The 14,026-nt window shown below is 44.9% G+C and overlaps 1 protein-coding gene across 34 annotated transcripts in view; it reads left to right on the plus strand.

The window, feature by feature from the left end:
- MAST2 (microtubule associated serine/threonine kinase 2) overlaps nucleotides 1–14,026 on the plus strand; it is a 232,511-nt gene that overhangs the window by 190,175 nt on the left and 28,310 nt on the right. For 20 of the 34 annotated variants that reach the window (XM_011541059.3, XM_011541069.3, XM_011541061.3 and 17 more), the window contains 4 exons: nucleotides 3,938–4,013; nucleotides 7,173–7,193; nucleotides 9,019–9,097; nucleotides 12,455–12,609. In XM_011541059.3, coding sequence (XP_011539361.1) covers nucleotides 3,938–4,013; nucleotides 7,173–7,193; nucleotides 9,019–9,097; nucleotides 12,455–12,609 — 331 coding nt within the window. The remainder of the gene's footprint in view (nucleotides 1–3,937; nucleotides 4,014–7,172; nucleotides 7,194–9,018; nucleotides 9,098–12,454; nucleotides 12,610–14,026) is intronic. The other 14 variants (XM_011541062.3, XM_047450142.1, XM_047450096.1 and 11 more) reach the window with 1 other exon arrangement.

The following is a 14,026-nucleotide window of genomic DNA, read 5'->3' on the forward strand; positions in this document are numbered from 1 at the left end:
TTATACACCAAGCAGAAGTTTGGGGGTTCCCAGGTCACCCATACTTCTGACAAAATGGATACAAATTTGAGGTTTCTTACTACCTCCTGAGTTCAGTAATTCACTAGAATGATTCACAGAGCTCAGAAAACCCCTATACTTAGGTTTACAATTTTATTGTGGCAAAAAACATAAAAATCAGGTCCGGCCAAAGAAAACATGTGTAGGACAAGGTCTGGGAGGGTCCCAACACAAAGCTTCCAGTGCCTTCTCCCTGTGAAGTCAGGATGCATCACCCTCCTAGCACATGGATGTATAACAATACATACAAATTATTATTAAGCAGGGAAGCTCACAGGAGCTTTGTGTCCAGAGTGAGGTTTTATTTTATAAGCATGATTGATTGACTCATTGGCCATATGACTGAACTTAATCTCTAGCCCCTCTCCATTTCTGGGAAGTCAGGTTTATGTCAGACTGATAGCAAGTGGCTCAAAGCCCTAACCCTCTTTTTTTTTTTTTTTTTTTTTTTTTGAGAAGGAGTTTCACTCTGCTGCCCAGCCAGGCTGGAGTGCAGTGGCATGATCTCGGCTCACTGCAACCTCCGCCTCCTAGGTTCTAAGCAATTCTCCTGGCTCAGCCTCCCAAGTAGCTGGGATTACAGGCATGTGCCAGCACAGCCGGTTAATTTTTGTATTTTTAGTAGAGACGGGATTTTGCCACGTTGGCCAGGCTGGCCTTGAACCCCTAACCTCAGGCGATCTGCCTGCCTCGGCCTCCCAAAGTGCTAGGTGAGTGCTAGCACTCCCTGGTGCTAGGTGAGCCTCAAAGCCCCAACCCTCCAATTACATGGTTGGTCTTTCAGGTGTGGCCAGTCCCCATCCTGAGTTATATCATTAGCGTAAAGTATCAGGCCCTGTCATAAATAACAAAAGCACTCCTATCACTTGGGAAATTCCAAGGATTTACAGGCTCCTTCCCAGGAACTGGGTACTAAGGCCAGTCAAATTCTTTACTACACAACAGCTGGGTCTAGAATTCTAGGTTGGCAGGAGAATAGCCATATCTTCCATAATTTTTTTTTTTTTTTTGAGACAGAGTCTCGCTTTGTCACCCAGGCTGGAGTACAGTGGCACTGTCTCGGCTCACTGCAAGCTCCACCTCCTGGGTTCACGCCATTCTCCTGCCTCAGCCTTCCGAATATCTGGGACTACAGGCGCCCGCCACCACGCCCGGCTAATTTTTTTGTATTTTTTAGTAGAGACAGGGTTTCATTGTGTTAACCAGGATGGTCTCGATCTCCTGGCCTCGTGATCCGCCCACCTCAGCCTCCCAAAGTGCTGGGATTACGGGCGTGAGCCACCACGCCTGGCCCATATCTTCCATAATTTAAATATATTGCTCTGCTGTCTTCTTGCATTGTTTCCAACGAGAAATCTGCTATAATCCTTGTCTTTGTTCCTCTGTATAACATATCTTCTTCTCACTTTACTGAGCTCCACCAAGCTCTAGCCACTCTAAAGATTTTTCTCTGTATCTTGAGTTTTGAGCGATTTGACTGGGTATTCTTTGATGTACTTCTCTTCTTCTTTCTCATGTTTGGGATTCTTAGAGATTCTTAGATTTGTGATGTTACAAGAAAAACTTGGGACTGCAACGTCCCATCTAAACTGGGAAGGAGCCATGAGACCAAAGAATGACTCAGACAAATTTAACTTGATGAGTAGACGAGTTTATTCAACTTACATACAAGGCACTCCTGGACGGCAGCAGGACAGCTCTAGAGATCCACGCTGCCTCCTGTCTCTAAACCGCATTTTTTGTTTGTTTGTTTTTAGACATGGGGTGTTTTGCCATGTTGCTTAGGCTGGTCTCAGACTCCTGGACTCAAGTGATCGCCCTCCTCAGCCTCCCAAACTGGCATGACAGGCGTGAGCCACTGTACCCGGCTCCCTCTAAACTGCTTTTAAGCTAATTTTCTGGATCTTTGCCTACTGTGTTTGAACAATGATACTGTTTTTCTTGAGAGATTCTCAGATACTCTCTGGGATGTTTGGTTGGTTCTCAGGGATACCTGCTCCTCAGCTGGGTACCATTGCCATGGGCCTAGCCTTCAGGTTTCAGGCAGTGAACATATGTACCTTTAAGTAATCTGGTAAAGGACCCATCACACAACATGTGGGTATATGGTTTTTATCAAATTTGCAAAATGGTCCGCCATTATTTCTTCCTATCTTTTTTCTGTATCCCCTGCTCTCCCCTCCCCCTGCTTGAAGTTGTCCTACAGCTCAGTGGTGCTGTTTATTTAGTTTTTTTGCTGCTTTTTTTTCCCCTCTCGGTGTTAGCTATTTCTGACATACGTGTGTGTTATGTAACCCTAGCTGTACTATGCGCACCTGGAAGATTCTTTGTACCTCTGTAACCAGACCGATCCTTGGAAGGCTGGTCATTGTAGGATGCTCATGTCCAGGCATCTCCTTGAGGCTTTAGCTGGGTAGTTTTGGGAACCAACAAAGGGCATCTGACTTTGCATGTCAAGAATCAAACTGTGGGTATTTGTTAATCTTTGACATGAGATGACACTATCAAAAAAGAACAGAATTTTTTTTAAAAAAATAAGCTTTGATACTTCTGAGGAGGCCTGATCCTTATTAAGTCCTGGCTAAGGAAACAGCTACTCAGGATCACTTCCCTTATATCCTGGTGCCCACTAGCCAGAAGATGGGGAGAGGTCATAACAGATATCCCTGACACAGAGCATGGAAAACCCAGAGTTCATGCAATGTTGAGAGCAGATCCACTGGATGAAGTTGTATATTTTATGCACCTGGGGGTGAGAAGAACTGAAAATGCCTCTTATTATTTCAACCAAAAACAATGCCATTATATAATTGATACAGAGGTGCTGCTGCATAGGGTAGTAGGAGCACTGATTGAGAGGCTGGTTTCTACTAGATCAGTATAAAAAGACGTTAAGTGCTATATAAGCCCTATTGGATAGAGATAGTGGGAAACAAAGGGGTAGGTTTTTGGCAACTTGGAACATCCATACACTGTGCAGGAAACATACTATCCAAGAGAAAGCCAGCGCATGTTGAAGTACCAGGCCCCTGGGAGGTAAGCACAGAAGTGAGGAGGTGGACAGGGGTTAGAGGGGAGCCAGCACAGCATGGAGTATGGTGCTTACTTCAACATGGCCTTTTGAGTAGAGTCATATTAACAACTGCCAACAAGGGGCTCCTACGTACCAGTCCCCAGCTGGAAGATAGCCCAGAGAAGTATGGCAGGCTTAGGTTTAAGAACCATTGGGATTAATGCAAAGGTAAACTTACAGTTTTGTTCAAAGCTTCTGAGCTTTAAGTTAGCAAGTTACAGGGAACACGTGAATACTAATTAAGAAATGGCGGTATGCTTTGTAGACTTGGGGGCCTTGATTACGAACTATCTTAAGGTTTACTACTATCCTGAGTCCCTACCTGAGAACTTCTCTTTCCCCTTAAAACACACATGTTCCTGGTTTAGCCCTTGGATACAGTGCGCAGAGATATATATGCAAGAAACTTTTGGATTAGGGGTCCTGTTGCCCTTTGAGAAAGTGTGAACATTTGGCTATACCCTCTGACTGAATGAGCTCTTTAAGCCTTCTGAATGTTGGTTCACTTGACAAAGACAGATTGAAGTCTCAGGTGTGTTCCTAGGAGGGCAGGAAATAGTCAAGTTGCTGCTAGATCTAGAATGGTTATCTGAGAGACATGGGTTGTTACAGCAAACTTGGGAACAAGGGAGAAAACCTCTGGGCTATGAAACTTTTACAGAAAGAGACTCATTAAACTGATAGTGGCCCTGAGAAAATAACCATATAATTGCCAGTGCTAGGGGAATATTTCTTGCCCGAAAGTCATGTCCACCCTCCTCACAAGCAAACCTCACAGAGTTTTGTTTCTTTTCCCATCCACAGGTAACAGTCCTTTGGACAGCCCCCGGAATTTCTCTCCAAATGCACCTGCTCACTTTTCTTTTGTTCCTGCCCGTAGGTAAGTTGATAGGAAACCTCCTCTGGGACCAGCACATGTGGCACTTGCATGAGGGTTAATTGAATGTCAGATTCCTCCTTTAAGTGTCACTACTCTTTCAAGTGTATTACCTGAAGCTCCCATCCATCAAAACTCTGTCTTTGCTTTCCTCTCCTAGGTTGTAATGATCGTGTTCTGGTTTTGCTTTATAGGTGCCCCATGTATTTGTGTTTGAATGTTTAAACAGGAGAGTAGATATTAAGTAAAAGTAGATTTATTTGTATAATTCACTTTTTTTTTTAAGTCCCTGATGTCCTACGGGTATGTTCCAAAGCATTATACTCTCAATTTAGAACTGTCCTACAGTGATGAATGAGAAAATAAGCTCTCCTCCAGGAGGACCCAAAGTTATACTCTTTGTCCTCTCTAACTCAGCTAGTTTAAAGCAGCTGAAAGGGCTCTTTGTGCCTCTCTCCTTGACTTTGAGCTGGAGTTCGTTTGGGGGATAAAGACACTACAGGGACTTCACTTTTCCTTCTATGAATTTAGAAAGATTTGGTGCATACAGAGCCATGCTTACAGTCCTCCTCCCATGTTTCTTCCCTCTTGAGAGTGATAACAAACCTGTCTCTGGCCCATGGCAGCAACGCTGACAGCTCTGCCTGTGGCTGGAATATCATCAGGCCTTTAGAGAAAGCTGAATGAGATTAATCCATCCAAATCACATACCTAGGCTCTATACACACATGATTTCTTGTCAGAACTTTTCTAAGATTCTTTGCCAGAGTTTATATTTATTTTATTTTATTTTTTAATTTTTAAAATTGTTCTTGGTTAGAGTTAGTCCCTGGTATAAGACCTCCAGGAAAATTATGGTTCCAGATTTGTAACCTTTAATGGATGGAGAATGTAATATAGCTGGAGACCAGGACAGTTTTAATACTTAGACTACTTTTTTTTTTTTTTTGAGACGGAGTCTCACTCTGTCACCCAGGCTGGAGTGCTGTGGCATGATCTCGGCTCACTGCAAACTCCGCCTCCCGGGTTCACGCCATTCTCCTGCCTCAGCCTCCCGAGTAGCTGGGACTACAGGCGCCCGCCATCATTCCGAGCTAATTTCTTTTTTTGTATTTTTGATAGAGACGGGGTTCCACCGTGTTAGCCAGGATGGTCTTGATCTCCTGACCTCGTGATCCACCCGCCTCGGCCTCCCAAAGTGCTGGGATTACAGGCATGAGCCACCGTGCCCGGCCTACTTAGACTACTTTTTAAAAAAAGACATATTAGGAAAAAGAGAGGCTCCTGGAAATGGTGTTAACTCACTATTCCAATGATAACCCAAAATAAATCCATCCTCTTTCCAGGATTCTTTGCAGCTGAAAAGAACATGAACAGGTTGGGATAAGTTTGATAGCTGACGTGGGTTTCCTCCTTCAACCCACTTACCTTATTCAAAACAAATTTTATCCAGGTTTGTTCCACGGGCTCATCTCTCCTACCCTATGGAACTTCCAATTTGTTAAGCAAGGATCCAGATAAGATCACTTACAGTATAAGAATATGCTGGTTTGATGCATTTGTTTGTCCAACCCAGCTGGAAAGACTTATCCCAGACTTCTTGCCTGGACTATATATAAACTGTACTCTCAGAGTAGGTACGAGCTGGGACACCAAGACCTGTGGCTAGATCCCCATAGGTGGCATTGAGTTATTTCTCATTCATTTGATAAATATTTGCTGAGCACCACCAACTAGAGTCAGGCGCACTCGGCTGGGTGCTTAGTTATGTAGTGGTAACAAAATAGACATAGTCCCTACTTCCCTGAAACTCAGGATGTAGGAGAGTCTGTGTACTGGTTGTTTCCTCTGTAAGGAATGCTGTTCCCTCAGATCTTCATTTAGCTAACTCATTGTTATGATTCATATCTCATCTTAAATGTCACCTCCTCAGAGAGGCCTTCCCTAAACATTCAATCTAAAGGGGCCTTCTTGTCTTTCTCCATCAAATCATCCAATTTTATTTTCAAACTAGTACTTTTCAATTCCTGATATTATCTTATTTGCATATTTTCTGTCTCAATTCAACCACAGTCAAGTCACCTTTAATAGAGATACCTTCATTTGTTGAAAGCTGTGTCCTGGCGGGAAGACAAATGAGTAGTGGGAGAGAAAGACAAACAAATATATGTTTATAAATTATGACAAGCACCATAGAGGGAAAGAGCATGATGCTGCATGAAAGAACAGGAAGAGGGCCGGGCACAGTGGCTCACGCCTGTAATCCCAGCACTTTGGGAGGCCGAAGCAGGCATATCACTTGAAGTCGGGAGATTGAGACCAGCCTGGCCAACATGGTGAAACACCATCTCTACTAAAAATACAAAAATTAGCCGGGCATGGTGGTGCAGGTCTGTAATCCTAGCTGCTCGGGAGGCTGAGGCAGGAGAATCACTTGAATCCGGGAGGCAGAGGTTGCAGTGAGCCGAGATCGTGCCACTGCACTCCAGCCTGGGCGACAGAGCAAGACTCCATCTGAAACAAAACAAAACAAAAAAAGAACAGGAAGAGACTAAAGCCAGAGAACCTCCACTGGGTGGCTATGTAAAGCCTCTCTGAAGGATGAGAAGCAGCTGCCATGTTAGGTGCGAGGACCCAGGTGTGTGTAGACCATTCCAGGCAGAGGGAACAGCCTGTTCCATTGATACCATGGGTCTGTTTCATTGCCTGGGTTTAGGAGTAGGACCAACTAGGAGGCTTCAGGGCCTGGTTTTTTACCACTGAGACCCAAACAGGTCTATGCTAAGTGGCATGACATTTGAGTCATGTGCATGGAACATGGATCTCTGGGCTGTCCTCTTATACAACATAGTAAGAAAAGCTGCTGGTTATTGGTGGGATGGGGAGAAGTGTTTCAACCCTGCCAAACAGAGTATCAGGAATCGTTTGTTTCTGTGTTACTGGCTGGCGCTTTGGAGGATCACATTGGTTTGCAATGTCAAACAAAAGACAGATTGAATTGAACACTAAGGATAGACCCATTGGTCCTACAATTTCACTTCAAACTATCACACATTCCTAAACAGAAGGAATGTGCCAAGCTAGACCAAATACCAAGATTCAAAAAGATCACTCTCTCTGGTTCCTTTGGTTCTCACTATAATGTGTATTTTTTTACTACAGCCATAGCCACAGAGCTGACAGGTAATAGCGGGTATAATGGGGAGAGGGGCTGGGAAACTGCTATGCATGGCCAGACAATATGGTTTGTGATGTTGTGGTTGGTGAAAACTGGTTGTGATGATTCTTCTCTGACTGTGGGTATGAACATTGGGCCTTTCATGTCTTGCAAAGAGGCCCAAAGGGATCTCCCTCTACCTGCTGGAACCAAGGCTCAGAGCTCATATGCTTGGAGGCAGGAATTGCTGAATAGTTCCAAACTTCTGAGCTTAGGGACAAGTCACCCTTATTCCCACAGCTTTGCACAGTCAGATGACTGCAGTGACCAGATAGAGGAAATAGAGGCATCATGTGGTGGCATTTCTTCCTGACTCTGGTGGCCCCTGCTGTTCATTATACAGAGAAATTGCTGCCATGCAGCTAGTTTTCATTTCTATCTAAGGGGAGGAAAACTCACATGTACAAAAGTGTATTTGACAAGGGTTTGGGAAATCCATCCCTGAGTTATACTTGTCTCATCTTTGCTGAGCTATTTCCTGGAACCGACTTGTTTTATTGTGTGGTGCTCCCAGGACCCAGCAAAGAGGTCAAAGAGAACATCATGTCTGAGCACCTTCCTGGACATGTCTGAACCTCAGAGACTAGGTTCCAGCAGAGTTATAGCCTATATGTGCTGCTGCCAGGGTGGCATGAAGTTTGAGTCATGTGCATGTGGCATGGAACCTGCGGCTCACCCCTTACAGAACAGAGTAGAAAAGCTGCTAGGTATTGGTGAGGGTGGGGAGGAGTGCTTCGAAGGGAGAAGCCCCAGCAAGATTTATTCCTTTTTGCTTCTTCTTCTCCCTGTCCCTGCCATAACCATGAAGCCTTGAACAAACCACCCAAATCTCAGGATCTTAGTGTTTTCTCTGTAAATTGTAATATGAACTTATAAAGATCCTCCATTGCTGATAGTCTCAGGTTCTGTGAGTAACAGCAAAAAAACTTTGTATCTAACTTCAACCAGAGCAGGCTGTACCCTTAAGCTCTACAAAAAAGAATACACCACATCCCACAGTCCAGGCAAAGAATCACACGTTCATATTATAAAAGTTTCAAACTAGATCCCTGCTTGATCTTTCCCCTCTACAGTAAAGCAAATAACTGTGGCGGGGTGGGGGGGCATGTTTTGTTTGTTTGTTTTGATGAGAGCTGTGGGGAGCATCCTTTTGAGAGCAGCAGGAAGCCTCCCCCAAAGTCTCATATACAGCTAAGGGTATGTCACCTCCCTTCTCTTTCATAAAGTTACTGTCACTCTTCGACAGACATTCCCAAATATTGGTTTTATGAGTCCTAACGGCTCCTAGGCAGCCTATAACTGTTTCCCATTGATTAGCTCAGTTCAGACCCAGATGGTGGCCCACTTCTTCCTGTTGTCAGCCAGTGGCCTGGGGAAGACCAAAGAGCCCTTAACACGGAGCCTTCACAAATGGAAATAGCTGCATTTCAGTGGCAGTTCTATCTTGTAATGTTGCCTATAGCTGGAATCCTCTGTCATTGTTTCTATGAAAGTAAGTTGAGAGTATGAAAATATATATTCCAAAACCACAGTATTATATGACAGATGTTCTTCTGTTATACAAAGTTATGGACTATTTTATAGTCAGAGATGTCTGTCTTTGCAGGGAAAACAACAATAAGCCCTCTGTAGGGGAGAGATATAAAAGCATGTACTGGACTGAGCAGTAATGTCTTAAGGAGGAGCCCTACAGTGAATCAACTGCCCCCAAAATGCTGATGAACAGACAGGCAGGTTGTGGGTCAGGGTGTAGTCCTGCAGAAACTGCCTAATACTTTTTCTTGCATACAGGACTGATGGGCGGCGCTGGTCTTTGGCCTCTTTGCCCTCTTCAGGATATGGAACTAACACTCCTAGCTCCACTGTCTCAGTAAGTAGCCAAATCTGTGGCCATACTTCCTTCACCCTAAGGAAGTACTTCCCTTTGGGTTATCTAGTGTCACAAAATGGTTCTCAACTTTTTCTCCAAAGTCAAACTCAGAGAGGTTGCTGAGAGATGATGTTGGGTGCAACAGAGGGCTGGGGTCCCTTCCCAACCATAGCCAGCTCCATAAGTGCCTTCGGAAAGGATGACCAGTGCCCTCTCTGGGAATCAGTTACTTCTAGTGGAGGCAGAGGAGAGCTTGAGGATGAACTTTTGCTTTGACAGTGAGACCAGATATGGGGACTCCTAAGCACACTTCCCCTACTCCTCCATCCTTATTTCTAGAACTGGAACCAAGAGCAGATCACCTTTCTCATATCTGAAGCACTTGGTAGACTCTCCCCTCTTTTTCACCTTTTTCTTTCAAAAAAGAAGGGAAGAGTGATTGTTATTTGATATCCAAGTTTGATGCATATGAAGCAAAAAGCTGGACCTGTCTCTAAAACGTTTATTTCTTTTGGAGAATGTTTTAGCCTAAAACACAAGAGCTGTACTAATTGCTGCTATGCACAATTGACCCTTAAGCCCTCATTGAGCAACTTTTTTTTTTTTGAAAGAGTGTCACTGTCACCCAGGCTGGAGTGCAGTGGCGCAATCACGGCTCGCTGCAGCTTCAACCTCCCCAGGCTCAGATGATCCTCCCACCTCATTCTCCTAAGTAGACTGGGACTGCAGGGGCATGCCACCACCCTGTAGCAGGCTAATTTTTTGTAGAGAGGGGGTTTCATCATGTTTCCCAGGCTGGTCCCAAATTTCTGGGCTCAAGCGATCCATCTGCCTTGGCTTCCCAAAGTGCTAGGATTACAGGCGTGAACTGCCACACCCAGCCGAGCAACTTTTTATTAAAACCACAGTGACAAGGTTGGCCAACTTTTTCTGTAAAGAGCCCAACGTGGAGTAAATGTTTTAGTCTTTGAAGGCCATACAGAAGCAGGCCGTAGACCTGCTGACCCCATCCCCATTACTTGCAGCATTCTTCAGGTCTTCCCTGCTCAGTGTGCCTTTATTCCTGAATCTCGAGCAGGGAAAAGGAGTACATTTCCTCTCCCAACCTAGATACTACTATCACATTAATCCAAAGATGTCATTGGTCTTTGGCAACTGTTAAGTTTAAGATCTTTCTCTAATAAACATTCCCCTTCCCGGGCCAGGCGCAGTGGCTCACACCTGTAATCCTGGCACTTTGGGAGGCTGAGGCAGGCTGATCGCAAGGTCAGGAGATCGAGACCATCGTGGCTAACATGGTGAAACCCCGTCTCCACTAAAAATACAAAAAATTAGCTGGGCGTGGTGGTGGGCGCCTGTAGTCCCAGCGTCTCAGGAGGCTGAGGCAGGAGAATCGCTTGAACCCAGGAGGCGGAGATTGCCATGAGCCGAGATCACACCACTGCACTCCAGCCTGGGTGACAGAGCAAGACTATCTCAAAAAAAAAAAAAAAAAAAAAATCCCCTTTCCCATAACTCTTCACTCAAACAAGTGATTTTTTTAGAACCAAGGTAAGTCTCATCTGCAAATTTTAAGACTTAACTCATTGCTCCAGCTTATTAGGATTCTTTAAAATACCAGTTTTGCCCACTGTAGTTTACATTGCCTCACTAGTTTCATGTTAGCTATAGCTGGTAAGAATATTTTTTGCAACTTTGATCCAAATCATTTATTAAAATGGGGCCAAGAAATAACCCTGTGGAGACATCTCACTCGCTGTTTATAACTTCATGTATTATAGCATTCTATGAGAGAAAATGTGCACTGTTAGCAAAAAAGAAATGCTGATTTCTCACTTGTTTATTGAGCCTGTGACAACAGAGTTATCTCAGTGTGGTGCTTTAGCTTTGATTCTTAAATGGATTTAGATATTTAAACCTTGGCTCTGGGAGCAGTAGCTCAGGCCTATAATCTCAGCACTTTGAGAGGTCAAAGCAGGAGTTCCAAAAGACCAGCCTGGACAACACAGCAAGACCCTGTCACTTAAAAAAAAAATAGCTGGACATGGTGGCATGCACCTGCAGTTTCAGCTGCTTGGGAGGCTGAGGCATGAGGATCACTTGAGCCCAGAAGTTTGAGGCAGCAGTGAGCTATGATAACGCCACTGCACTCCAGCCAGGACAACAGAACAGAATCCTGTCTCTAAAAAAACAAACAGGCTGGGCGCGGTGGCTCACGCCTGTAATCCCAGCACTTTGGGAGGCCAAGGCGGGCAGATCACCTGAGGTCGGGAGTTCCAGACCAGCCTGACCAACGTGGAAAAACCCCATCTTTATTAAAAATACAAAATTACCCGGGCATGGTGGCACATGCCTGTAATCTCAACTACTCAGGAGGCTGAGGCAGGAGAGTCACTTGAACCTGGGAGGCGGAGGTTGCAGTGAGCCAAGATCGTGCCATTGCACTCCAGCCTGGGCAACAAGAGCGAAACTCTGTCTCAAAAAAAAAAAAAAAACCCCAGATCATTGATTAGTTTGGTAAATAGAACTTGGGCTGGCCCTGACTTGCCTGTTCTCTTTGTCAGTCTTGTCAGGTAATGGAGGGGGGAGTTCCCTGATCCTGGGACTGAATGGGTGCTTCAGCATTAGCTGCGCCTGTAGAAGTCCTGTGATAGCCGAGCACCCTCCCTCAGATGGCCTGTTGAGATTGGCAGTGCTGTTGTGAGGAATCCTCAGTCACTGAGCCATGTTTAGAATTCATGAGTGTTTTCAGGTCAAGCCTAATCTTCAGGTCCAGATGTAAAAGTAATTTTCTTCCCTGCTGGATTTTCTTGCCTGCTGGACATCAGGCCATAGTTGGTCTGCAGGCTGTAGTTTGCTAACCCCTGGCACAATACATTGGCCAGCTTGAGTGAGTCTGGGCACAGCCTTCACAGCCCCAGCAAAGGCACTTCTCCTCCAGATAGCAGCCAAAAGGAAACATTGCTGAGCTGCCCCCAGGGTGGCTCTCTCAAGATTGTGGAAGGGCGAACTTAAGAGGATGTTATTTGCAGCTGGGTACACCTAAAACATGTCCCAAGTGAGGAAGCATGATTTATTAACTACTTTTGCAGCTCTAAAATTCCATGAAGGTCTGGGCCCAACTCCCTGCACAACCCTTGAAGGACTCCAGTATATTGAATTCCTCAGGGCTGAGGGCTCTGAAGGGCTGGAGAAAAACAGGATCAAGCACAGGCAAGGCTAAGGGAGTAGGGGAAAGAAGACCTGCTTTGGGTTTATAGTGACTGGGAAGTTCCCTGACCATTTTCAGTCCTTCCCCATTCTTGGACTGCTCTGGGACATGTCTTTAATGCCACTTCTTAATGTTTTCCCCTCTAGTCATCATGCTCCTCACAGGAAAAGCTGCATCAGTTGCCTTTCCAGCCTACAGCTGATGAGCTGCACTTTTTGACGAAGCATTTCAGCACAGAGAGCGTACCAGATGAGGAAGGACGGCAGTCCCCAGCCATGCGGCCTCGCTCCCGGAGCCTCAGGTGAGGGTGCTCTCTGCCCACTGTTCCAGTGCATGTGGATTTCAGCTTGTTTGCATAACACAGAGGTGGGCACACTATGCTATAAGGGGCCAAGATAGTAAATATTTTTAGGCTTTATAGGCCATATATCTCTGTCACATTCCTCAACTCTGCTGTTGTAGTATGAAAGTATCCACAAATAATATATAAACTTTATTTACAAAAGAAAAAAAAAAAGTAGCAGGCCATAGTTAGTCTGCAGGCTGTAATTTGCTAACCCCTGGCATAATACATTGGCCAGCTTGAGTGAGTCAAGTTCAACAAAGCCCAAGCTATTTTTGGCTTCAGGTACAGCTCAACCCATCACCCCAGGAGGTATTTAACAATACTGTCAAGTGGTCCCTCTCTTTTTCTGTTTAAAGGTAGTTAGCAGCAGAAATATACTTTAGATTACATCTGGTAAAAGGAGAACAATGGTATCATCAATTCTGATGGTTATCTGGCTCCAGAACCCATTGGCCCTGGGTGTATGATCTAGGCCAGCTAAAAAAGTTGCTGCTGAAGACAGGTTGCTGGCGTGGGGAAGAAGCCCATTTCAAAAGCAGAATTAAATGTCCATTTGAATATGTCTTTATTCTGTGAATCACCTGGGCACATCTTCATCAAACCAAACTAACCTTAACAGCTGCTGATTAATTTTCGATTCTCTTTGGCATTAGCTGGTAAATCAGTGCCAGAATTTTAGGTTAAGGAAGGTGATGGAGATTAAAATGAACATGACTTTAATGACTGAGCTCAGTTTTGCAGGGTCCCTAAGAAGTAATTAATTGGCTAAGATGTGCAGGGTAGGATCCCAGAGGAGCAGCAGTTCCTCCCAGAAAGAATCCCCTCAGGTAATGCTGGCACTGCACCAGGAGTGACAGGGAGTAAGCTGGGCCAGACCACAATGACTGGTTCAGGTGTAGAGATTGATGAAGATGGTATCTGAGGCTCCAGTGCCTTTCTCTGTGTCACAGAGGAACACCTGAGTCTTGGTGTTCTCAACAACCCATACACAGAGAAGGGTACCTTTTAGGCCAGTTGAGATTGAGAGGCCCACAGTGATGCTCAGAGAAATCCATGCTATATTACTCTTAAATCCTTGGTAATGTGCAGCAGTACAGCAGGCAAAACATGGCACATTCCAGGGAAGAAAGACAGAGTGGGACAGTTGTGAACCTAGAACATCTGGGATCATGTGTCAGGGGCAGTAAACTGGGCAAGACCCACATACCCATTCAACTGTGTGGCTCCAACTTTGAAATTTTTTTAAGGAGATACAATGACACATGAGCCAGAGGGGGAGATTTAGGTTATCAGGGAAGACAATAAATTAAGGCAGAAAACATATCGGCTGCCTTCAGTAAATCACCCAGATGTATAACTCACAACAGTCTGG

Source organism: Homo sapiens, chromosome 1 (genome assembly GCF_000001405.40).
Source record: "Homo sapiens chromosome 1, GRCh38.p14 Primary Assembly".
Classification (NCBI taxonomy): Eukaryota; Metazoa; Chordata; class Mammalia; order Primates; family Hominidae; genus Homo; species Homo sapiens.